Genomic DNA, 24240 nt, shown 5'->3' on the forward strand with positions numbered 1-24240 from the left:
GCTTGGTTTTCCTGGTAAAACTGATTCATACCCTTTCATATTGTCTCCCTCTTCTTCCTACATTGAATACATCTGTAATTGTGAGGCAAAAAGCCAACACATTAATGAAGGTAGGAAAATATTGGAGGGTCTGGGGTCTTTGATGATTTTATTTGAACCACATTCCTCCTCTGGTCTGCCTTGTCTACAGACTACTGTTTATGTGATCTAGTCAAACCCTTTTGCCACTTAAACCACTCAGGAATTCTGTTACTTGTAGCCAAAAAGAGAATTCCTAACTGGGTATGTAAGTTACACTTTTGTTTATTACAGAAGTTGCAATGGTTAAGAGACATTAACACCCCAACATATTGATGTAAGCCTTCTGAATGAGCCAATCAGGGGGGCATTTTGCTGGCAGGTCTAAGAAACACACCGTTCAATTCACTGGCTAGAGACAGAATTGTTTCAATTAATAGATGGCAGACATTTTTAAAGAACATATGTGTTGGTGAACATGGCAGATACTTTACAAAAATAATTTTTAAATGGTCTCATAAATTACAACCTTGATATGTTACAAAATCATTGGATCAGGGGATTCTATTGAATCAGTGAATGTATATCAGTAAGAAATATCTCTTTTAAGGGTTTTTATAGCTTTCTCTACTGGATCTTCTTTGAGTTTGATTTACAGGGGCCATTTCTACGGTATTTACTGACATAATCACTAATTACTAAGTAATCACTGTCGCTGTACTTTTATGGAAGCGTGTGGTGCAGTGGAAAATACAAGTATAGACTGTATTATTAAAGGTTCCTTACCTTTGTGATCTTAAGCATATCTCATAGCTCTGTGCCTCAGTTTCCTCATGTGTAAAGAGTAAATATTGCCTCTCAGCATTACTGAAAGGATTGAACATAATTATATGTGAAAATATATCTATCACAGAGCCTTGTACCTTGTAAGTAGTTGCCAAATATTCCCTTTCTCCTTTTAAAGCCACAGCTTGGATGTCTACCCATGCACAGCCAGCCCCTGAAAAAGGTTGTGCATGGCTTCTTCCCCTATCTTTTTTCATTTTATCTCCTTCCTCTTAGCTCACTTCAAACATTCCTCTCTCTGGCCTATCTTTGTAGCCTCTGAGCAGTAGAAAAATATGAGATAAGTAAAGAACTAGTTTTACTTTGATATGCTAAGGAGTCAGACTGGAAACTTCCTAGCAACATGGCCATCCCATCACCTTTTTCTGAACTTCTTCAAGAAGTAACACTCTTGAGCAGGGGGAGAAAAAATAATTACCACCCATACACATTTTGATGAGAGAAGGGTGATGAGATTGGGGAGGAGAGGGAATGATTTAGCCTACAGAAAAAATATATAGTGGCATTACAATTAATCTTCCATAGGAATGGTTTCTAAAATTTGTGAAGAATGCTTCTATTTGACAATCGAATTTTGTCAAATTTACCCAGAAAATCAAATAGTTCATTCATGCCTGGTTTGTCGTCTGCAATCCTTTGCAGTAATATATTTATGTAAATGTACAACCTGTGGAATAATATTTGGTATATAATAAAGAGCATATATGCTAACCATAGTTCTACCAGAAAATGTGATTGTGGGTGAGTGACTTCTCCAAACCATTTCCATGATGGAGTGATGCTCACAAACGCATTGCCAAAGCTGCATGGGAAAAGAGGCTAACTGAGGATATGGTGCAATCAAGTCCCACATTTTACTCCAGTGCTGGAATGCAAGTCATTCAGAGGGAAGACAGAATCACCCTCTACTATTTAAATTGTTTCTTTCTGTCTCCCACTCACCTCCCATACCCACAGCTCATACAGTTTACCTGTGCATGAATTAGATGCATGTATAACGTACCCTGTCTCTCTCTGTCCCTCTGTCCCACCTCCCCTCTCCCCATCTTTGTTAAATGAAGAAGGTCTCCATTTGCATGTCATTCTTTGGCTACAACTGTGTCATACTCCTCACGAGAGCAGAAGAATGCCATCTATACACTTAATGAAATTTTAACAACTTTACCCATATGCATAAGCAGCAGAACATTTTTTTTTAATCTTAAATATCTGGTCAGGCACAGTGGCTCACTTCTGTAATCCCAGCACTTTGAGAGGCCGAGGTAGGTGGATCACCTGAGGTCAGGAGTTTGAGACCAACATGACCGATATGGTGAAACCCTGTCTCTACTAAAAATACAAAAATTAGCTGGGCATGGTGGTGGGCACCTGTAATACCAGCTACTCGGAGGCTGAGGCAGAAGAATCGCTTGAACCTGGGAGGCACAGGTTGCAGTGAGCCGAGATCGCATCACTGCACTCCAGCCTGGATGACAGAGCAAGGCTCTGTCTCAAAAAAAAAAAAAAATTGTTAAACATCTAACCTGATACGCATAGCATGATGAAACAGAGCAAATGCTCAATGGAGACTAGTTCATCTGACAAACAGAGGAGTACCTCTGGAGCTGGTTTCAGGAAGGGACAGGATTCCCAAGGGAGAATAAGCCCAGCACTGACTCCCAGAGCCCCAATCCTGGCTGGCAGCATTCCACCTTTCCTTTGAACAGTTAAGCCAGTGAAAAAGGCCAGTTGTTTGGTTTCTCATGGTCTGAGTGCTTTGGGGAGGGAGTGGTTCATGTATAGACTTCTAAACATTCAGAATGACAGATGCCAAAAAAGATCATTCTACCTTGATCTGTGGTAAACTATGGACAAGAAAGAAAATTTCTCCTCCACCCTTTTAAGAAATCCAGCCTACTTTTCTTATGTATACATAGAGTACAATCATTTGAGAGAACAGCCCCAGGTTAGATATTGGTACACTGGTTGTGTATTCACAATGATCTTTTTAAACAGAATTCCAGGAGACCAGGAAAGAACTTCTTTGAACTTCCAAGAGAGTGCAATAATGTATTGCAAAAATAATCAGAAACAAAGAATCCAGCCTTCTAGTAGTTTTAGAAACCCAAGAGACAGGACCGCAGTGTTGGCTCTCTTTAGGAAAAATACCTAGACAACGGTGTGCATGGGAATAGTAATGTACAAACTGAATATCCACTACCCAAAAGGAATTTCTTGTTTTTGCTCATAAGGCAGTTTATGTGATATACGTTGGGGGTGAGGGGATGCTAATCTATACAATATTTTCCCATTTATAGAAGTGGGCAGTTGGCTCAGTGGCTCCATGTATATACTCAGATCCCCTTTGACTAGAGTGGCCTGGAAAACTCATTTTGTGTTCTCTTTTTTATGGAGATAAAGCTGGTCACACCGCCCATTTTGCCCCTTGGCTTTCCATTTGGCAGACACTAAATGCAGGTGCCGCATTTCTGAATTAAAGCACTGCATTTGGAGGGGGAAAGATGGAGCCTCCTGGAAATGGTTAGAGTTACAGTATGAGGGTAGTGTCTTCATCCTGCACAATTATTTGGTTTTGCTGACTTTCTTTGCATTTCCCTGAAGCAAATGGCAAGAACACTTTTTTCATTTAGCCTGCCTTAGAAATTTTGTTCTCTCTTTTCTTTAATCGTTCACAAAAGGGAAAGCTCCTTACCCCAGGGCAGGGAAAGACATTAAGTTTCACTGTACCAGGAAGAAATCCACCAACATCTTGTAATACTTTTCCTTTAAGAGCGTCATTTCTTTCTCCAGCTGCCTTCGTCTCTTTGATGCATAAGGGTACACTAAGTTGAATCTATAAACAGAACCTACTAATTAAGAGTAATTGCTTAGGAGATTGGTACAGACGATTCAGCATTATATGCGTGTTCTTCTCAGATATCCATTAGTTGCTAATAAGATACTACAGATGTGCCAGTCTGTTTCCTGTTTCCGTCTATTGTACCTTTATTGCCATATATGGACCAATCGGATGGGCGGAACAATAAGTGGATGTCCTTTTGCTCCCTGAACACGTCTCAAAGGAATGTTTGTTATTAGATTGCTTTTCTGTTTAGTTTCCCATCAGTATGTTAATACGGAAAACATAACACTGAGAAAGTTTTTGTGGCTTTTCTTCACTTCAGCTACTGTTAACTGTTTTATTGTTTAATTAAATCCCTTTTTATAGATTTTTTTTTTTAAAGTACAAAATGAAAGTATGCCTGGGCAACGTGAGCAGAGGGAAAATGACATTCTTCTTCCCTCTCTCTTGAAAAGAAAAAGTTTCCATCTAAATGTTTTAAGTACTTAAAAATTCAGCATGAATATCATGTTGCTATATTTGACTGATTTACACTTGAGGCTTGGTAAAAAGCCTATGAATTATTCATTCCCAAGTGATTCTATAAGCCAGAACACCAGAAATCATATCTCCCGTTGAAGTTTATAAAGTGAAATAGTTTAAATACTCTCTAGACATGTGGATGTCGGTAGAGTTGTTTTTTCTCTGATTTTGAATTGCTGTGCTTTCAACTCACTTGTCTTTTTATTTTAGGAAAACTTGGCTAAAAATTTTACCCTTTTCCACTGCAAACCTAGTTGACATATTTTTAAGTTGGCACAAAATATTATGTTATAAAGCAGGTTAGCAGTTGGTACTTTCTGTTCTTCTTGGGTCCAAAGAGGGTTTATTTTGTGGCAAGGAAAAACTGTGAGGGGAAAATGGTTATCGACTGTCTTTTTCTTTTATTTACAAAGAACTAAAATGTAGTAAACTATTCTTCATTTGATATAATTAAACACTGCTCCCAGGGAAGGAAAAAAATATGTTATTCCATGAAACATACATATATTGTGTGTTTATATATAATACACATTTAATTATAAAATTATGTTTACGTACACATACATACATACATACACAGTAATACAACCAGCCTGGTACATTAAACTGTTTAATATTTTTAAAGGCTCTACATATTAGACTCTACATAGTTCCTATATTTTGGAGTCTGTAATTGTGAGTCTTGGCAGCTGACATTTTATGGGAGTGTATTAAAATCATTTAAGATGCTACTTAGAGCAGTAATGCTTTGACCTATGTGAACATCAAAATTCATAAACAAAATAGGGTCAGGTGGAGCCACTAGCCAGATGATGCTTCCAAGAAAATCTAAAACTTCGGAAAATAGGTGGACTGCAGTGTTTGATACAAACTTCTTCTACACATTATTTCAAGTAGAACCATGACAAACAGTTTGAAGGAAAAAAAGGAACAAACTTCTTCAGGGGAAAAGGACAGAATAATTTTGAATCTATTGATAAGCACTCTTCATTACTACTTTCATGGAATTCTTCATTGCTTGTCCAACATTCATAATCCAAACCAACCAAGTAATAGAGGCAGAGTGTGTGTGTGTGTGTGTGTGTGTGCATGCGTGCGTGCATGCTTTCAGTAGAGTAGAGGTGTCCTGAATGCTGATTCTTCACCAGGAAACATGTGTATAGCAATTACACACAGAGAGAGGCACAAAGACACAGAGAAGTGTTGTTTTGTGCACGTCATCCGCAGACTTTTAACAAGCAATTTCCAAATCAGCTTAGTCATCAAAAATATCACTAATGAGCTGTCTGCCAAAATGTGGCTCAAAATCTCATTCCTTACGAAGGACATGCAGAGATAATTTCTTTATCGAGTTACCGCCATAAAGTACACTGACTTTAGTCCATTTGTACGACTTCTGCTGTTATCAAAGGACAGATCAGATACTGACAATTCAATGAGGTTAGGGTTGGAAAGTCTCGCCTAGAGTATCTGTGTGCACTGGGCCAATATAAAACAGTAATAAGAATATATAACTATAATTAAACAATGTGAAAACCTTCTGAGTTGTTTGATAAATAATTCGCTACTGTAGTTAAGAATGCTGTTTTTCAACAGTCAGGCCTAATATACATTAACAATGCATATTATGTACTCACTGTGGTCAGAGCACAGGCCTCCCAAAGTGCTGGGATTATAGGCATGAGATAACTTGCCCAGCCCTGTTTTGATTTTTGATACTGCAAGTGAGAACATGTGATGTTTATCTTTCTGCCACACTTTCCTCAACATTGTGCATTGTACTTAGCACAATATTCTGTTCACAATATTCTCAATGAGGGCCAATTAAAGAGCCAGGCAAATTGGAGCTCAGATCCTGTTGACATTTACTGAGGCTTCTGAAGAATATGTTGTCTCTAAAGAGGTACATGAAGAATGCAGAGAATTCACACTACATTAAAGCATTTTGCATTGGACTTTATCTTTGTATGCTTTTCACTTTTATTATGCTCATTCCAAATCACTCTCTTCTATGATTATGTGGATTTTTAAGAAGCCAGCTATGTTGTGTTACACAATTAAAGATATCTTATTGATTTTTCCTTTTATTCTATATGATTTGACTTGTTTTCACATCAACCGGTGCTAATGGATATATCTGCTAGTATATATCCACAGGCATTTCAATTAACTCATCCAAAACTACGTTCATCCTTTCTGAAGCCTTTTGCTCCATCCGAGTTCCTTAGCTTGCTGAAGGGTACCGTTATTTGCTTGGTTTATAAAACCAGAATTCTGGAGTCAGCCTTCATTGTTGACTCTCCTTTAATCCCATGTCCAATCTATGTCTTATTCTATCTGTGCTACCCTCATTAATGTTCTTTGGATTCATCATGGCGGAGACCAAAGTCTTGGGCCCTCTCAGTGGGACCCTTGCAATAGTCTCCTGGCTGGTTGTCCAGCCTCAAAGCTTTGCTACCAATCCATTTTCCACACAGCTGCCAAAGTGGCCTTTGCATATCTCACAATGTCATGTCCCTACTTCAGACCTTCCAATGACTCACCAGTGGGTACATGCAGGAGAAAAGTCCAGTTGCCCAAACTACATGTGTAGGGTCTTCCATCCAGATCCTTCCTTTCCATTCCAATCTCTTACTACTCCCCAGCTCAGAGTTTACATTTTCTATATTTTGTGCAGAAGGCCCTTGCCCAGTTCAGTTGTCACCTTTCCCCAACCAGTCCTTTGTTGGCTAGGTGTGCATCCTGTGTGCTTTCATAATACTCGCACCTACCTACATCTGAGCATGGCGCCAACCCTAAAGGCTTGTCTTTTCCCCAGTAGGCTGTGAGCTACTTGGGAGGAAGCAGGGGTGGCATGAGCATGGCTTTTACTTTTGTATTCCAACATCCAATGTAGGACCTAACACATAGCAAGTATTCATGAAACTTGCCCAATTCATTCAATCACTTGTTAACATTTTATCATTCTCACATCCAATTCTGTTATTTCTTCTCATTGCCATTCTCTGATTTAGATTTTATCACTATTCTCTTTCCGTATGCATTATATTCCATCTAAAATGAAATATTGCTTCCCCAATATATCTGTCTTGTCTGCTCAATTCTTTTTTTTGTATTTTTTAGCATTTTTCTTCCATGCTCTCTGTTCTGTCATGTCTTTTCTGCTTTCCTGCCATGAAAGTGATCACCCTCCCTTTTAGAACTAATTCTCTTCCCCCTGACCCCAGCACACGTAAACTTTATTTGCATTGCATTGCTATTATTTTGTAGCAGTCACTATTCCCTTGTTAGATTGTGGGCAGGGATTGTTCCTCCCTTACTGTCTTCCCTCACGGGTCTATCTCAGTGCTTTGGTCATAGAAGGGGCTCAGAATTGAATTGGAACTGAACAGAATTGAATAAACTATCCGTTTATGAAATAATTTGCTTTAGAGTTGCTAGAATTAAATGACTGCTCCAGTGGCAATATTACTCTAACTCACTAATATCATTTGATCCACTGAGGAGCTAGTTAATTAAGTAGGTGGATTAAAAATATAATCTGGAGGAAGAATGTTTTGGCTGGGACCCACACACTTTTTTTCAAAAAGCTTTATGATCTCTCAGCTACAATTCCTCTTGATTTTCACCCAAAACAGCAATAGGACTCTTTCCACATGACTGTTGATGGCTGGCTTAGGAACACAAGGCCATACACCTGTGTGCCAGATGTGCTCTGCAGCCTGTCTGCTACCCCAGCCCATCTGCAAAGCATACCCCATGCTGGCTCCTTTCTATAGGAAAGGGGGCATTGGTTCCCAGCCTTTTTACATGATAGCTTCCCTGGTGTTTGCCTGTTTTCCTTAACTTAAAACCCCCTCCATTGAATTTCAATGTATTGGGTGACCTTTGCCAACACAGGAGGCCTTAGTTCATTTGTTTATTGGTGAGTCTGCTTTTTCTCTGTGTGCTTGATTTTTTGCCTGGCAATTTTTCGACTTGTATCACCATTTGTGAGAGTGCTGTTTGGTCTTCTGTAGCCAAACCAGCCACATCAGCATCAATAGTAGTTAATAGATAATCAGATCCTCAGAATTTCCATGTGGTGCCGAAGAATGTCGTCTGATACTGAATGTAACTTTAGCAGGAATGAATGGGATTTGATAACGAATGGGTCTGTGTTGATGGACACTGGGGACAAGGTAGCTTTGTGATCTTCTTTGTTTCTGTAAGAATGCCTCTGCAACTGAATTCAGCCCATTTCTATGCCAATGTGCTAATAGTTGTGGAATCTCATTCATCTCAACAGAGGCCAGTTAGCCCTGGAATCCCATCTGTTTGAGTGGATGCAGTAAAATGTCATGGAAATGTGGCCATTCATTGACATCACTAGTGAATGCTTTCTTGCTATTAATTTCCCTTCATTTTAACTGACTCTAATCACACAAATTCTAGCCCCAACTGCAAAAAAAAAAAAAAAAAAAAAAAAAAAAAAAGGCAGTTAGACTTTTCACTTAATTTTTAATCCTAATTTTTAAAGTGCTTGTCCACAGAGAACAAAACAGTTATTTTAAAAATGTGCACAGAGTCTAAATGGAGATGCTCTCGTTCCTACAACACATTAAAAAAATGCTTCAGCCAGTATTTTTGAGTCCTTCTTGGCATAAGATGTCCAAGGCTGTATTTTGGCCCAGAGGAATTTTTAGGCTGATTATTTTTTTCCCTCCTGAAAGAGTTTAAGAAAGAGAAACAGGCTGAGTCTTAGCTAGAACAAGGCTAAAAGAGGTGCTGTCTCTAGCAGATTGCTCCAGTGACACAATAGTTAGGAATGTGGCAGGCCTTTCAGTTAAACTTCTGGCTAACTGGACAGCTGAAATATTGGAGCTAGGTCAGGCTAGAGATCGTAGCAGGCACTTGTAAAACCTCAGTCAGCGGAAATAATGACCACGTTCATACGTTTGTCATTTTCTTAATAAATCTCCTAAATTGATTTTTAAGTCAAGAAATTTGACTTCTAAAAAAGGATGTATGTATGTGTATGCATGTAAACATACATCTGATATAAATAAATGAATGGATAAGTAATACAGGAAACAATAAGGTATCTGTTCAAAACAAATATGGGAAAAAGTGTTTTGTTCTGTTTCCAGCTATGTGTGAATGTGAACTGGCTTAAACATGCTTAAACTTATCAGGTATTTTCATGGAGTCAACAATATTAACAAAATTAACAATGTTAACAATATTAACAATAATTAGTGCTTCCTTAGTGCGAGGCACAGTTCTGAGTGTGTGTGTTTGTGTGTGTGTGTGTGTGTGTGTGTGTGTGTATATATATGGTTTTTTTTGTTGTTGTTTTTGTTTTTTTTTGAGACAGTGTCTCATCCTGTCACCCAGGCTGGAATGCAGTAGTGCAATCTCAGCTCACTGCAACCTCAGCCTCCCAGGTGATTCTCCAGCCTCAGCCTCCAGAGTAACAGGACTACAGGCGTGAGCCACCAACACCCAGCTAATTTTTTATTTTTAGTAGAGATGAGGTTTCACCATGTTGACCAGGCTCGTCTCAAACTCCTGGCCTCAAGCGATCTGCCTGCCTCCGCCTCCCAAAGTGCTGGGATTACAGGTGGAAGCCACCATGCCCAGCCCTAAGTATCTATATTAACTCATTTGATCTTCTTCACAAATTTGTGTGCTAAGTCCTGTTATTTTCTCATTTTTTAAATCAGAAAGCTGAGACTCGAGATTTTACTCTTTGCCTCTAACAGAAGCTTGATTGCTATGGTTTGTTTCCTTGAATAAGACTCACCTCTTTATTTGCACGGTGTGAATTCACAAAGCAATGTGCTGACCAACTTTAAATCAACTGATGCAGCAGACTATTGTTTATCCAGAATGTCTGTAATTTAACACAGTTTGAATTAATAACTTTTCCAAAGTGTGGTTATCTTGACTTCAAAAGAATGCACGTGTATAAATAGCAATTTTCTCCATAATGTGATATTTGCACCAATGAAGTTAAACTACTTTAAACATAATTTCCGACCCAAACACATAAGCAGCAAAGAAACATTACTGCTCACGTATTACCAGCCAGCCTATCAAGATAATACTGCTCTGTTTCCTTACAAACTTTCCTTCCCATATCTTTATCCTGGGGACTGGCTACCATAATTTTACCTGAGAGATCACACCATCACCTTATATCATATAGAAAACCAAATCACCCTTCAATTATTAGAATGCTATAATTATTGAAATATTAATCACTTAGAAATATTATTTTTCAATAGTTCCATGGCTTGCATTCTTTGTTACAATTGCTTATAATCTCTCCCATAAATTCAAGTGAGTGCTGTTGGCTTTCAAGCTGATCCTTGAAGAAGCTGTAGACCTATTTCAGTGATGCTACTAATTATCAGATTGTCATTTGAATTCTTCTTGTTTTTTAATTGCCTTTGTAGCAAGTATTGGTTTTAGGGGGGAGGTGGTAACTCTTCTTCCTTAAGATATATTTGCTTTAAAAGAATAATTTCAGAAGAAAGTCTAGTCAATAGGGGCAGAGAAGATTTGGGAATCAAAAATTGAAGTACAAATATAAAGTCATGAAATTATTATCTTTATGTAATTAATGACTTTATTTGTCCAGTTATAACATAGATCTGCACATTTCAGCAACTAAATACAATAAAGATTTATTTCTCACTAATGTCATCATCCAGTGCAGGCACGTAGGAAGGCTGTGCTCCATACAACTATTCAGAGACCCAAACTGCTTCCCAGTAGAGGTTCTGAGGTTTTCTAGGTCCTCAGAGTTCTGTATTGAACCCTCTGCATTCAGTCAGCAATAGAGAGAAGAGAGAGCCTGAAAAATTCTGTAGGCGATTTGGGGGACTAGGCCTGGAAGTGGCAGACATCACATCACCCACGTTCTACAGGCCAGAGCTCGGTCTTATGCCCCCAGCTAGATGCAGAAGAAGTTGGGAAATACTGTTTGGCTGTGTAAGTGAAAAAAAAAGAAAATGATATTTGATGAGAATATAGTAATGTCTCTGCCACATTTCCTCTAGTGATGATTTCTCCCAAGAAAACTGTTCCAAATTGTCTTTTTTTTTTTTTTTTTTTTTTTTTTGAGATGGAGTTTTGCTTTTGTTGCCCAGGCTAGAGTGCAATGGCGCGATCTCGGCTCACCACAACCTCCACCTCCCCCTCCCCGGTTCAAGCAATTCTCCTGCCTCAGCCTCGTGAGTAGCTGGGATTACAAGTATGCACCACCACACCTGGCTAATTTTGTGTTTTTAGTAGAGACCGGGTTTCTCCATGTTGGTCAGGCTGGTCTCGAACTCCTGACCTCAGATGATCCACCCCCCCCGCTCCCCCTCAGCCTCCCAAAGTGCTGGGATTACAGGCGTGAGCCACCGTGCCCAACCCAAAAGTGTCTTGAGTAATAGCGTCATCTGAATAAGTTGTGAGCCACATACTATGACTGTCTGGAAGGAAAAGTGCCACTTGGAAATATATTCTGGTTGATTTCTTATATGATCGTACATTTTATCCATATTGCACACATGGCTTCATTCAGATGAATGAAGCAAAACAGCTGTATCCTCTTTGATCTCTTAGTCATCTTTTAGAGGTTTTTCTGACAACAAAAAGGGGGGCAGGTCTCAGAATGGGAGTGGAGGCCACACAGCCAAGCTGCCAGAGTTAGGGAGAAGAAGGCATTGGGATAACTTAAAATGTCATTTCCTAATGTGAGGAGGCCAAACTTCAGTATTCAAATGAGGTTAAACTTTTATTTTTCTTCTAGGTACTAACACCCCAAACACCCACAAAGAGAATAAGGGAGATAATTCAGACACATCTTTATTTTGGGGGAAGAGAAAACTACCCATTCTTTCTCCTCCCAACTCTCTTGAAAACCACAGGCTAATTAAGACAGCAAAGGAAATTCTTAAGTACAAAACGTTTAAAAAACAAAACACTGAGATTTGATATTTTTGTTTCAGCTTCTCTCTATAAACTCACACACTGGTGCAAGAACCCTGTCATTCTTTCCTGTAACTGTTTAACTGTCTCCATCATATCTATTTGAAATAGATGAAATAGCTCTATCATATATTATCTCTAGGCTCTGGTAATTTTCAGGACAGCTCTAAGGCTGCAGATAAATAAATGACCTTACATAATTTCCACATGGCAAAGTGGAGAAAGCGAAATAGCCAAATGAACATTTTAACATTTTAAAGACTTTTCTAGGAAATGTTGCACTTTCCCAATAAAATTACTGCACTCTTGCCTTACCTCTTGACATTACTTTGACCCCTGGCTTCTTCTAGAACCCACGTCTTTTATAGAACTGACATCATGTGGCTTTGTCCCTGCTGCAGCATTGCAGGGAGTTTTCATAGCCAGCAGTGAGCATCTTCAAGTTTCTCTCACTACCCAACACCACACATTGGATTTTCCACTATGTGTGAAAAACAACAACAACAAAAAACCTGGCTACTGAATCCAGGAGAAATAATTGGTCAGTATTTGTGGCTCATGCTCTTGATTAGGTCCTCTAAGGAGGCTCAGCATGGGTTGATGTATTAGGTTTTTATTGTTGTGATAACAAATTACTACAAGCTTAAAATAGAAATGTATTATCTTATAGCTCTGGAGGTCAGAAGTCCAAAATCAGCTTCCCTGAGCTAAAGTCAAGGTGCCGCCATGGTTCGTTCTTTCAGAAGGATCTGCAAGGAGAACTTGTTTCCTTGCCCTTTTCAGCTTCTAGTGGCTTCCCCATAGGCCTTGGTCTTTGGCTCCTTCCTCACCTTCAAAGCACATCACCCCAAATTCTGCTTCCATCACATCACCTTCTCCTCTTCTATAATCAAATCTCCCTTTGCCTCCCTCTTGTAAGAATCCCTGTAATTACACTGGGCTACCAGATAATCCAGTATCATCTCCTTTTTGTTGTTGTTGTTGTTGTTGTTGGAGATGGAGTCTTGCTCCGTCGCCCAGGCTAGAGTGCAGTGGCCCAATCTCGGCTCACTACAACCTCTGTTTCCTGGGTTCAAGCGATTCTCCTGCCTCAGCCTCCTGAGTAGCTGGGATTACAGGCACCCACCACCATGCCCAGCTAATTATTATTATTATTATTATTATTATTATTATTATTATTTTGTATTTTTAGTAGAGACAGGGTTTCGCTATGTTTGCCAGGTTGCTCTGAAACTCCTGACCTCAAGTGATCTCCTGCCTCAGCCTCCCAAAGTGCTGGGATTACAGGTGTGAGCTACCACGCCTGGCTGATGTCAAGATTCTTAACTTTAATTACATTGCAAAGTCCTTTTGCCATATGAGGTAATGTTCTCAGGTTCTGGGAATTAGAACATGGAACCTGTGGGGGCCATTCTGCTGTCTACCATTGCTGGCTCTGTTTCACAGAGACCTAACTCCATGTCCTTTTAATGTTAATGTAGAATTGTAAATTAACGATACTTCTGCTTCTCCATACTTTCATCGTGGTCTCCACTGGCTCACAAATGTAAAACACTCAAGATTCTCTTCCACTGGCTCACAAATGTAAAACACTCATCATTCTCTTCCACCATTTTGCCTTCCCACTTTTCTTAGTACATATTCTTGTGCATATCTCTTTGCAGAGCTAGTTTTGTGTGTGTATCTTACTCACTTCTTTTTTCCAAAATGTTGAATATATTTTAAATAACAGATGCAAGTTTACAACAAAATGTCTTCTAGATATTCCCTGAAGATGAATAGGGGAAGGGGCCCATGGAATGTATGCATGGTGAGGACCACGACCTAACCCTGGCAGAGCCCCCTGGATTATGAGAGCCTTCCAGGGAAAGAGGCTGCATGGTACCCATAGAAAGGCTAGACCCTGTGCCCAGGGTACAGAGACCAAGACAGACAGACACACAAGACAATCTGGCCTCACACCTTGGGCATGTATCAGCAGAACCTGTGTGGACTGAGGCCTGAGATCCCAACCCCAGGAATGGGTGTGTGGGTTGGTTTGTGTATGTATATATGTGCCTATTTCTTTTTTAAGTTTATTTTTTAGAGACAGACTCTCCCTCTGTCACTCAGGCTGAAGTGCAGTGGTGTGATCATAGCTCATGCAGCCTCAACCTCCTGGGGTCAATCAATCTTCCCCCATCAACCTCTCAAGTAGCTAAGACTATAGGCAAGCACCACCATGCCTGGCTAAATTTTTTATTTTTATTTTTGTAGAAACAGAGTCTTGCTATGTTGCCCAAGCTGGTTTCAAACTCCTGGTCTCAAGTAATCCTCCTCGCTTGGCCTCTCAAAATGCTAGGATTATAGGCACAAACCACACGCCCAGCCATTCTTTTTAAATTATCAAGATATAATTCAAACAACAACATTCACCATTTTAAGATGCACAATTCAGTAGTTCTTCGTATATTCACAAATTTGTGCACCATCATCACAATCTAATTGCAGAATATTTTCATCACTCTAAAAAGGAACTCCACACTCATTAGCAGTCACCCTCTATTCTTTCCTCCCTCTAGCACCTGACAACTACTAATCTACTTTCTGTCTCAAGATTTGCCTATTTTAGACATTTCATATAAATGGAATCGTATAATATGTGGCCTTTTATGTCTGGGTTCTTTCCTGTAGCATAATGTTTTCAAGGTTCATCCATGTAATAGAACAATCCCTACTTCATTCCCTTTTTATGGTCAATCAATATAATTTTGTATAGATGGACCACTTTTGTTTATTCATCAATTAATGGACACTTGGATTGTTTTCACTTTATGGATGTTGTGAATAATGCTGCTATAAACATTTGTGTACGAGGTTTTATGTGGACATGTTTTCAATTCCCTTGACTGTATACAGCCAGAATTGAAATTACTGGGTTATATGGTAGTTCCATGTTTAACTTTTTGAGGACCTGCCAAACTGTTCTTTAAAGTGGCTGAAACATTTGATATTCTCACCAGCAACGTTAAAGCATTTCAATGTCTGCATATCCTTCCATTGCAAAACCTTGAGAGAGGGAGAAAACCCTAATAGTGGGCTGAATGTCCTATTATGTGTCAGGATAAGGATTTAGAGTCCAGTCAAATCTGGATTAAATAAAATACAGAAACTAGACATTTCTTCCACACCTGAAAAATAATTATTTGTGGTGTGGTGGCTCACGCCTATGATCCCGGCACTTCAGGAGGCTGAGGTGAGCAGATTGCTTGAGTCTAGGAGTTTGAGACCAGCCTGGGCAACATAGGGAAACCCTGTCTCTACAAAAAAAATAAAAAATTAGTTGGGCATGGTGGTGATTTCCTGTAGTTCCAGCTACTCAGGAGGCTGAGGCAGGAGGATTGCTTGAGCCTGGGAGGGCAAGGCTACAGTGAGCCAAGATCATGCCACTGCACACCAGCCTGAGCAGAATAAGACCCTATCTCAAAATATATATATATATATATATATATATATATATATTTGTTTATTTGGTCTTGCCTTCCTTATGTAATATCATAATTCTAATGTAGTGCTTTCTAACATTTTTCCACATCAAGGAACACACAGAAATTAATAATATTTGCATGGCCCTTGGTGGTCAATAAAGAGTCTGCTAAGGGATGGACTCATTGAGTCAAGGACCCCGTTCCCTCACTCTCAGGCCCCACCAAGCCACTAGACGCTGGGGAGACCAAAGTCACAGGCATACTTCTAATCCATATTCTGGAACACCAATTAGAAAACTCTATTCCACTAAATTCAGTTGTGATGTTTCTTTTGACCTTAGGAGGTAAAGGTAGTGGGGAATGAAAAGAGCATGGAATAGGAGAAGACCTGAGTATGGTAACTTTCCTGGCCATAGGTCTTGTTCTCAAAGGAACTAACTGCGTCTCACACAGTATGCAAAATGGGTACTGATTCCTCTCCAAAGAGCTTGGTATGGTGGACAAAGAACAGACTACAAGGAGTGCAGACAGAGGTGTAGGTCAGGGTTGTGTGGTGACATTCCCAGACTGGCTGCCTGGCTTGATAAAAAAAATGCAGCTCCCAGAAGCATGAGGATACAGTCTGGCCACTGGGGAGAAGGTAGCTGGAAAGAACTAGTTATTATATCTTTGACCTCAGCCAGAAGGTAGTAGGGGTGGGTGTTGGAGGATGGTCAAGTGATCTCACCCGAGAAACTGATGAGAATGGGTCCAAATATCACCCATAGCCCACTGGATATTGAGCAGCAAGACTATTAGAGATCCTGATTGCCATTATAGGAAGGTCCTAAGGTGTCCTTAACCTGCTTCATATAGGTGGGAAGGCCAGCGTTAATGCTGAGCAAGCATGGGCAACCCATGTGTGCAGTGACCTGACATTCTGTGGCAACTCTGACAGTCCTGACCTACTATGGAACCATGTGACCATCTCATTTATTTGACCACAAATAACTCAAATGTACCTTGAAAATTCTTGCTTTTTTGTTGTCTTGACTTTTAAATTCAAGTGAATGAACTTGTTAAAAATACATTTATGGCTAGACTTGATTTTCTAGAATAGATATACCCCTTCAAATTATAGGTATGTTGTAATATTTAAATATTAAATACTTATTTAAATCTGCTACTTTGGGGACCCTATTATGGTTTCAATTATGTGAATTTTTCTTTTATAAAATGAATAAATGTTCCATAAACTTATTTTCAAATAGAAATGGGTACGCATACATGCTGAGTTTGACTATAGCAAGTATGCTGTGTCTGTTTTTAACTCTCTATCTTAAATTATAAACTACAAGAGTTCAGGAATCTCAGCTGTGTCTCTGTCTTGCTCTTTTCAGCACTGTGTCATTCATGAATGAACACTTCCTAATCCCACTCAGTAACATATCAGGCTTAATCTCAACGTGCAGGTCGACCTTCAGCCATGGTCTGTGATCACAGTCAACTCAAGATTGGGCACCTTACTCTTCTAAAAGGGGCAGTTAAGTACTGAGTTAGTATGGTCCTTCTGGGATCTAAGGCCTAGAGAGATAATTTGGGAGTTTTTTTTAAGAAAGAAGAAAGAAAAAAAATACAAACCAGTTTCAATGGTTAAAGACACCGGCCTCACAATGTCTAGAATGCCGTTCTTGACACTAAAGCCAAACTCAGAAGCACAGTTGTAGCTACTGTGACTCTTTTTGTCTCTGTTTCTATCAGTACATTGCTTCTCTGCTCTCTCTCATGTCTCTTGTTTACACGTGGTTTCTGTAGTCTCATGGCTTCTGCCACCTTGCTTTTCTGTATACATTTCCATTTCTATGCCAGTCTTCTCTCTCTGTCTTTCTAGGTGTCTTAGGCATTCAAAACCAATCAGCAGTAAGACTCTGATAGGATAGATGGGTCAACATCCAATGTGGAGACTCCCACTGGGCACACTACTGCTTCCAAGCTCTCTCTCAGGCATCTGCCAGCCTGTAGATCCTGTAGATAGCTGAATTTCCCTTGAGAACCAAATCCTAGGCCAGTCATTCGCTTGGCTTGGGAGGATTCCATAATATGTAGCATGGAAACTGTTGTACAAGGAGTTGCCTACCACCGCTTTTCTCAAAAACAAGCAATGGTCCAAGCAGACCTTTAGTCCAATACATTTATACCTTACGTTTGGGAATATACATGAAAAGACCTTAGGTGAAGCCTGACTTCAGCATGTGTGTGCATTGCTAGCAGATGTAACAACTTTGGGTTGAGCATTGACTCCCTAAAAACCCCTATTTACATTACTACTCTCATAGTTTATAGAAGTAAAATCTCAGTGTTTTATACATTGTAATATATGTGCATTTCTGCCTATTATTTTTTCTGAAAGTCATATTTGAACTCTGTTTCTTTAGCAGATGGAATCTTACATATTTCTTTTTAAAATGGCCTAAAAAGAAATACAGGGACATTCTTTCTAAGCTTCTTAAAAAAAATTTTACTGTATTAAATGACCCCTCCTGATGCAGAGGAAGCTATTTAGATTTCATCCTCCCTCACTCGGTGGTCTAAGACTCCTTTGACTGCATTATTTCCTCTAAATTACTCTCTTCCATCTCCTTTATTCCCAAATTAAAAGGAGGTAAGAAATGCCTCTTTTTGGCCAAATTCAAGTTTTTCCATTACGGCTTCTCTTTAAGTTGAGAGTAATTTTATCAGCAATATTTATGATAAGGATGCTGAATATACGAGAGGTTGCAAAACCACCAGGCATGCAAAACTGACTTCTTTACATCCATGTTTCTTTTCTATCAAGAACAGCAGCAAAAGCAACTGACAGGATTTGTGCTGAGCCTGGTATTTTTGCTGAAAACAGGTACTTGGCTGGATGCATCTGAGAAATTTGAAGTGGCATTACCTGGAACCAATCTCTTAAATAGGGAGGCTTGAGCTAAAATACATTGGGAAAAAAATGGCAATATATATGTAGTGTCTGTCAAAGCAAAGATTTCCCCACACCAAGTTCTAAATCAGCCAAAGAAGTACAAAAGAATTTGTTGTACTCTATCACAAGACATTGAAAAAATCTCTCTTTTTCACTTATTTCTGTTTTTTATGTTAGCCACATCAGCCACATTGTGAGTAAATTGCAGCCAGAGGAAATGGATACGTTTTCTCCAAAAATCTTGTCTGTTTTGTTGCTTGGATCACTCTTGAAGGAAGCACAGTGTAAAACTAACACTTCTCACCATTTCAAAGTGTTTAACTCCTGTGTCTCAAGGCCAACTCTAATAAGGGTCCTGTCTCCAAGCTAGGGTCTTCAAGAAATCACATATCAAGTCATCAATGCATTAAGTGGCATTTCACATTATCCACTACATTTGCAGATGTGTGTCTAAGGCAAGCCAAATCCCATCTATATTTTATTTATTATTTGTAGAAGACATTTGACACATCCCCATGGCATGTCCATAATGGCAGGTCAAATCTCAGTTTTTTATTGTTCAATTTCAGATTGGTGCTGTTACTGCCTTTCTCTTGCCACAAGGGAATGCCAATTTAGATATTGATTTAATCTTGTCTCATCTGTGGTCTTGAGTGAACCGTTTCCTCATAGTTAAAATATTATTTAACTCCCTCTTCAGAGAAGACATGTAGAGCTGAAAAGGTTAAGGAATCATCCAGTGTAGGTTTCCCAAACTTATTTGACCACAGAGCTCTAGTTTTTAAACTTAATGAACATCCAGTGAAATATAATGGATTAAAAGACGTGCACTTTTTCCTGTTCTCAAATCTTCACTAAAATGACAGGAGATGTAAAAAGTATAAATCATCAAAGATAACAAGAATATGAGTGATGCTAATCACTGACAAGAAATGGCACCAACTTTTTTGGAAGATGGACAGCAAATGTGCAGTGTCAAATAAATGAACAAAGTACTGAAAGCAGATTGCTAGGTGTCTAAAGAAGAAGATGAAAAGGGGATGCAAGGAGATACTAGCAGTGGAATCTTGGCCAGTCCCAGAGAGCAGAGGCACCAGCTATCCTGAAACAAGGAAGTGATGATGGAAAGGAAAATTGGTTGTTGTTGTAAGTAAGCAGAAGATAAATTCACTCCTCTACCAATTTTATCTTGATTATTGTAACCCATCCCTGGTAAGAAAGGTAAATCTACTCTTTGAAGAAACTAAATCAGAGGGGTTACTGAGTTCTAGACACCAAGCATCAATATACCATAGGGTGGTAGTGGTGGACTGAAAACTGGAGGAAGATGTGAAAGGCCACATATTTCATAGTAAGTCCACCAGCAGCCCCAGCCTTATTCCTCCATTCGAATACTAGAGTCTTTCATAAGGTTTTTTTCTTTCCACCCTACCCTGGGCAGATGCTTACAGGATTGCTCAATGGAGTTATCCAAGAGTCCCAAATAAAAAGCCCATTAATCTGACATTTGGGGAGTCCCACAATGAAATAAATGTAACAGTTATATAACTTTTTATGAAATTCACTCATTTGACAAGGTTCAGCCATGGAAACAATTTGCAATAAACTTCCTCTTTATAATATGAATGGACAGACTAGAGAATTTGGCAGACAATACAAATGAGAAATACATCTAATGTTAATGGAAATAAAACAGAAAAAGTAAAGAGAAAGAGTCTATAATATAGTAAGCAGAATAAAACACTGAAAAGGACATTTCTCTTTTTTTTGTCTTTTTCTTTTTCTTTTTTGAGATGGAGTGTTGCTCTGTTGCGCAGGCTGGAATGCAGTGGCACAATTTTGGCTCGCTGCAACCTCCGCCCCCCAGGTTCAAGCAATTGATTCTCCTGCCTCAGCCTCCCAAGTAGCTGGGATTACAGGCAGGTGCCACCATGCCCGGCTAATTTTTTGCATTTTTAGTAGAGACAGGGTTTCACCATACTGGCCAGGCTAGTCTCAAACTCCTGATCTCAAGTAATCCACCCACCTCAGCCTCCCAAAGTGCTGGGTTTACAGGCATAAGAAATCACACCCCACCTAGAACTATTCTTAATATCCTAAAAAATATCAGAAAATACGTGGCAGTCATGACAAAGAACAATGTATAAATAAGAAAAGACAAGAAAAACTTTTAGATGTTAAAAATATGTTACCATAAATGTAAAAATCAATAGAATAATTGGAAGTTAAAGGTGAGGATATCTTCCAGAAAAGAGAACGAATGGATGAAGAAGCGGAAATGGAGAGAAAATAGAGACAATCAATTCTGAAGGTCTACCATCTAAATAAGATTTCCAAATGGAGACAACAAAACAGAAGTTAAGGAAGATATTATCAAAGGAAGCATAAAATAAAATTTTTCCTAACAGGACTTGAGTTAGCAGATTGAATGCATTTACTAAGTGCATAACACAATGAAGCAGGGAAAGGGATCCTTGAGATTAAAGAGAAGAGTACAAGAAATGGAAGAATTTCACACACACAGGATCAGAAATCTGAATAATATTGGACTTTTCTAAAGCAATGTAAAAAGCTTGGGGAAATGGCACAACATACTTAAAACTCTGTTTAAAAAAATGACTTCTAATCCACAATTTTATACCTAGCCAAACTGTTAAACATATGTGAAGTGCAACACAAAAATATTGTAATTCATGCAGAGTCTCAAAAAATTTACCTCCCACATAACATCCTTCAGAAAACTCTTAGGAAAAAAGCTACCCAACTGAAAAAAGCCAGTAAAGAAAGACATGAGTTTCAGGAAATGGGGATTCCGAAAAAAGAGAGAAGCAATAATAGAAAGTCCTAGTCTGACATCAGTGCATGTGGCTAGGAAAGAAGCCAATCAGCCCTGGAGCAGGAGGAATGTCTCCAACTGTGGAATTCATTTATCACATGACATGCCAGACAAAATTGCTGGAGACTTAGCAAAGAATTATTCACGGATATAAAGAAGACTAATCAAATTATGTAAATAAAGCTGTTAACTCCAGGAAAGAAACAATTTTATAAGAAAACTATAAATGCAGTATATCACGTAACTCAACTGTAACAATATTTATCTGGTCATAATATAAACATAATGTAAATGATTTTTATTTTTAAAATTGTGATAAAATTATGTTGGGAGTAAGGAGAAAGAGGTTTCTATGTGTGGGCAATAGTTTAAGAGAGTTATATCATATTTATAGTAGGAACCAATAGATAAAAAAAATTTTGGCTGGGCACAGTGACTCATGCCTGTAATCCCAGCACTTTGGGATGCCGAGGCAGAAGGATCACTTGAGTCCAGGAGTTCGAGACCAGCCCAGGCAACATAACAAAACCACGTCTCTACAAAAAATACAAAAATTAGCTGGGCCTGGTGACACACACCTATAGTTCCAGCTACTCTGGAGACTGAGGTGGAAAGATTGCTTGTGCTCAGGTGTTTGAGGCTGCAGGGAACTGTGATTGTGCTGCTGCACGCCAGCCTGGGTGACAGAGCGACACCTTATTTCTTAAAAAAAAAAAAAAAAAAAGAAAGAAAAAAAAAAAGAAATTGAAGTACTTGCTTCTGAGGGGAACTCAAGAATGAGAAGGATAGAGAGCTGTTATTCTTTATCAGTCTCAAGCAGGGGTCAGCAAACCACGGCCCATGGGTCAAATTCATCAGGCTGTCTGTCTTTACAAATAGTGCTTTATTGGAATACAGCCACACCAAATCATTTATGGATTCTCTGTGGCTGCTTTTGTGCCAAATTAGTTGCTACAACAAGAGAGTTTAGCAGTAGTGACAGAGACTGTATGAACCACAGTCTCAAATATTCACTTTCTGGCTCTTTACAGAAGAAATTTGCCAACCTCACGTCTAGAGCTGTGGCTCTCAAATGTTAGCTGCATCGGAGTCCTCTGGAGGGCTTGTTAGAATGCATGTGAGGGGAGGCTCTTCCCAGAGTTTCTGATTCAGTAGGTCTCTCCGGTGGGGCCTGGAGAATTTGCATTTTTAACCAGTTTGCTGGTGATGCTGATGTTGCCAGCTGAGGGACCCACTTTGAGAATCACTGATCTAAAGAAACTATTTGACTTTTAAAAATCGTGTTGTAAGTATTATGTTTATAAAATAAATTTGAATTGTCGAGAAGTATAAGGTTGGAAGCTTACATGCAAATTTGAGCTAAACTTAATACAAAAATGACCTCTCGTGAATGAAATGCAACAGAAAATCATTCAAATGTTATTTTAAAAATGTTTTCATAGAACAAAAATAATTGTGGAATTGATTTCCACAATTATATACATACAGAGAAAAATTATATACATATGTGTGGAGAAAAATAGAAAAATAAATTATTTTGTTAATAAGATATCGTAGATACAGGCATAAATATTAAAATTTGTAAAGATTACCAAGACCCTACCACTAAATGTGCATGTGTGATTCAAGTGGTTGACCAATCATGCTACCTCCTGTCTGGCGTTTTGTTTATCAAAGGCAGATTATTGCATAACAATATCAACTATACCGACAATTATTATTTTAATCTTTTTTTTTTCATTTAGTATGTTCTTGTAAAACACTTATTTTCTGGAAAATGCAGTTTGAGAAACTTGACATAAAGCCTACTTCTCTTCACTTGACCCCTTTTACAGATTCTGAAACTGATACCCAGAGAATCTCTTGGCTGGTAGATCCAAGACCTTCTAACCCAGTCCCTACTTCCTTCCTGTCTTCCACTCAGCTCCTGTTTGCCTTGCCTGAGGTGGTGAAGGAAAGAACCCCAGATGAGCACAAACTCAAATCAGACTTAAAGAAAAAAGAGCACTGCTAATCTTTTTTTCTAAAAGCCTGAAACAAAGGAAATTCTCTGCTTCCAGGAATAGCCTTAATCAGTCACATATGTGAACATAGACCCAGTGACTGCTCAGACAATTTTCCACCAACCTAATGTCGGGATTTTCTCGACACATTGATTTTTTTTTTTTTTTTTTTTTGCCTATTATCAGTATAAGCAGTTTAAAAAAAAAAAAAAAAAAAAAAAAAAGCCCAGACATGATACCAGACCTCTCAACCAGACAGGCAAGATGCTGACAATCTGCAGCGTTTGAAAGCAAAGAGAAATGAAGGATTATTGAGGGTGGAATAATGGTTTTTTCCCAACCAGTCCCTGGTTGGTAAAAAAAAAAAAAAAAAACAGCTTTAAAAATCAGAATTGTGCCCTGCGGGGGTGGATTTGCTGAACTGTCAGCTCCACCAGTTAATGAGGTAGTTTGTCAAATGGAGATAGAAAGACCATTTATAACAATGCTATGCTTTGTGTGTGATTTAAAAATCAAATTGAGTGGAAACTCAGCAAATACTAAATTGTATTGTTTATTTTCTAATTAATTTGCTACAAACTACAAAATAAAACTATTGAATATATTGGATAACGTATGCTTTTTTGAAGAAAAAGCACCAAAATCATCTCTGAGATGAAACCGATTCAGAGGCTGTTTACTTTCTTTTCATCAGAGAAACAAGTTGTAGTTTGAAAGTTTGAAAAAGGCATTGAAATTTTGGGTGGGATTTTTAGAATTAGTGTGTTGTATAAGCCAACAGGCAATGTCATCTCCTT

General features: G+C 38.8%; 1 protein-coding gene across 1 annotated transcript in view, besides 2 other annotated features; it reads left to right on the plus strand.

Moving 5' to 3' along the window:
• The window catches only part of RARB (retinoic acid receptor beta), a 768612-nt gene that overhangs the window by 318524 nt on the left and 425848 nt on the right, over nt 1-24240 (plus strand). The window lies entirely within an intron of this gene.
• Nucleotides 3754-4048: a silencer, noted in NCBI's record as "tiled region #14202; K562 Repressive non-DNase unmatched - State 24:Quies". NCBI's record gives its function as "represses a minimal TATA promoter and a strong SV40 promoter by Sharpr-MPRA in K562 cells {active_cell/tissue: K562}" and the evidence as "EXISTENCE:reporter gene assay evidence [ECO:0000049][PMID:27701403]".
• Nucleotides 7854-8148: a silencer, noted in NCBI's record as "tiled region #8133; HepG2 Repressive non-DNase unmatched - State 24:Quies". NCBI's record gives its function as "represses a minimal TATA promoter and a strong SV40 promoter by Sharpr-MPRA in HepG2 cells {active_cell/tissue: HepG2}" and the evidence as "EXISTENCE:reporter gene assay evidence [ECO:0000049][PMID:27701403]".

This window comes from Homo sapiens, chromosome 3, assembly GCF_000001405.40.
Source record: "Homo sapiens chromosome 3, GRCh38.p14 Primary Assembly".
NCBI lineage: Eukaryota > Metazoa > Chordata > Mammalia > Primates > Hominidae > Homo > Homo sapiens.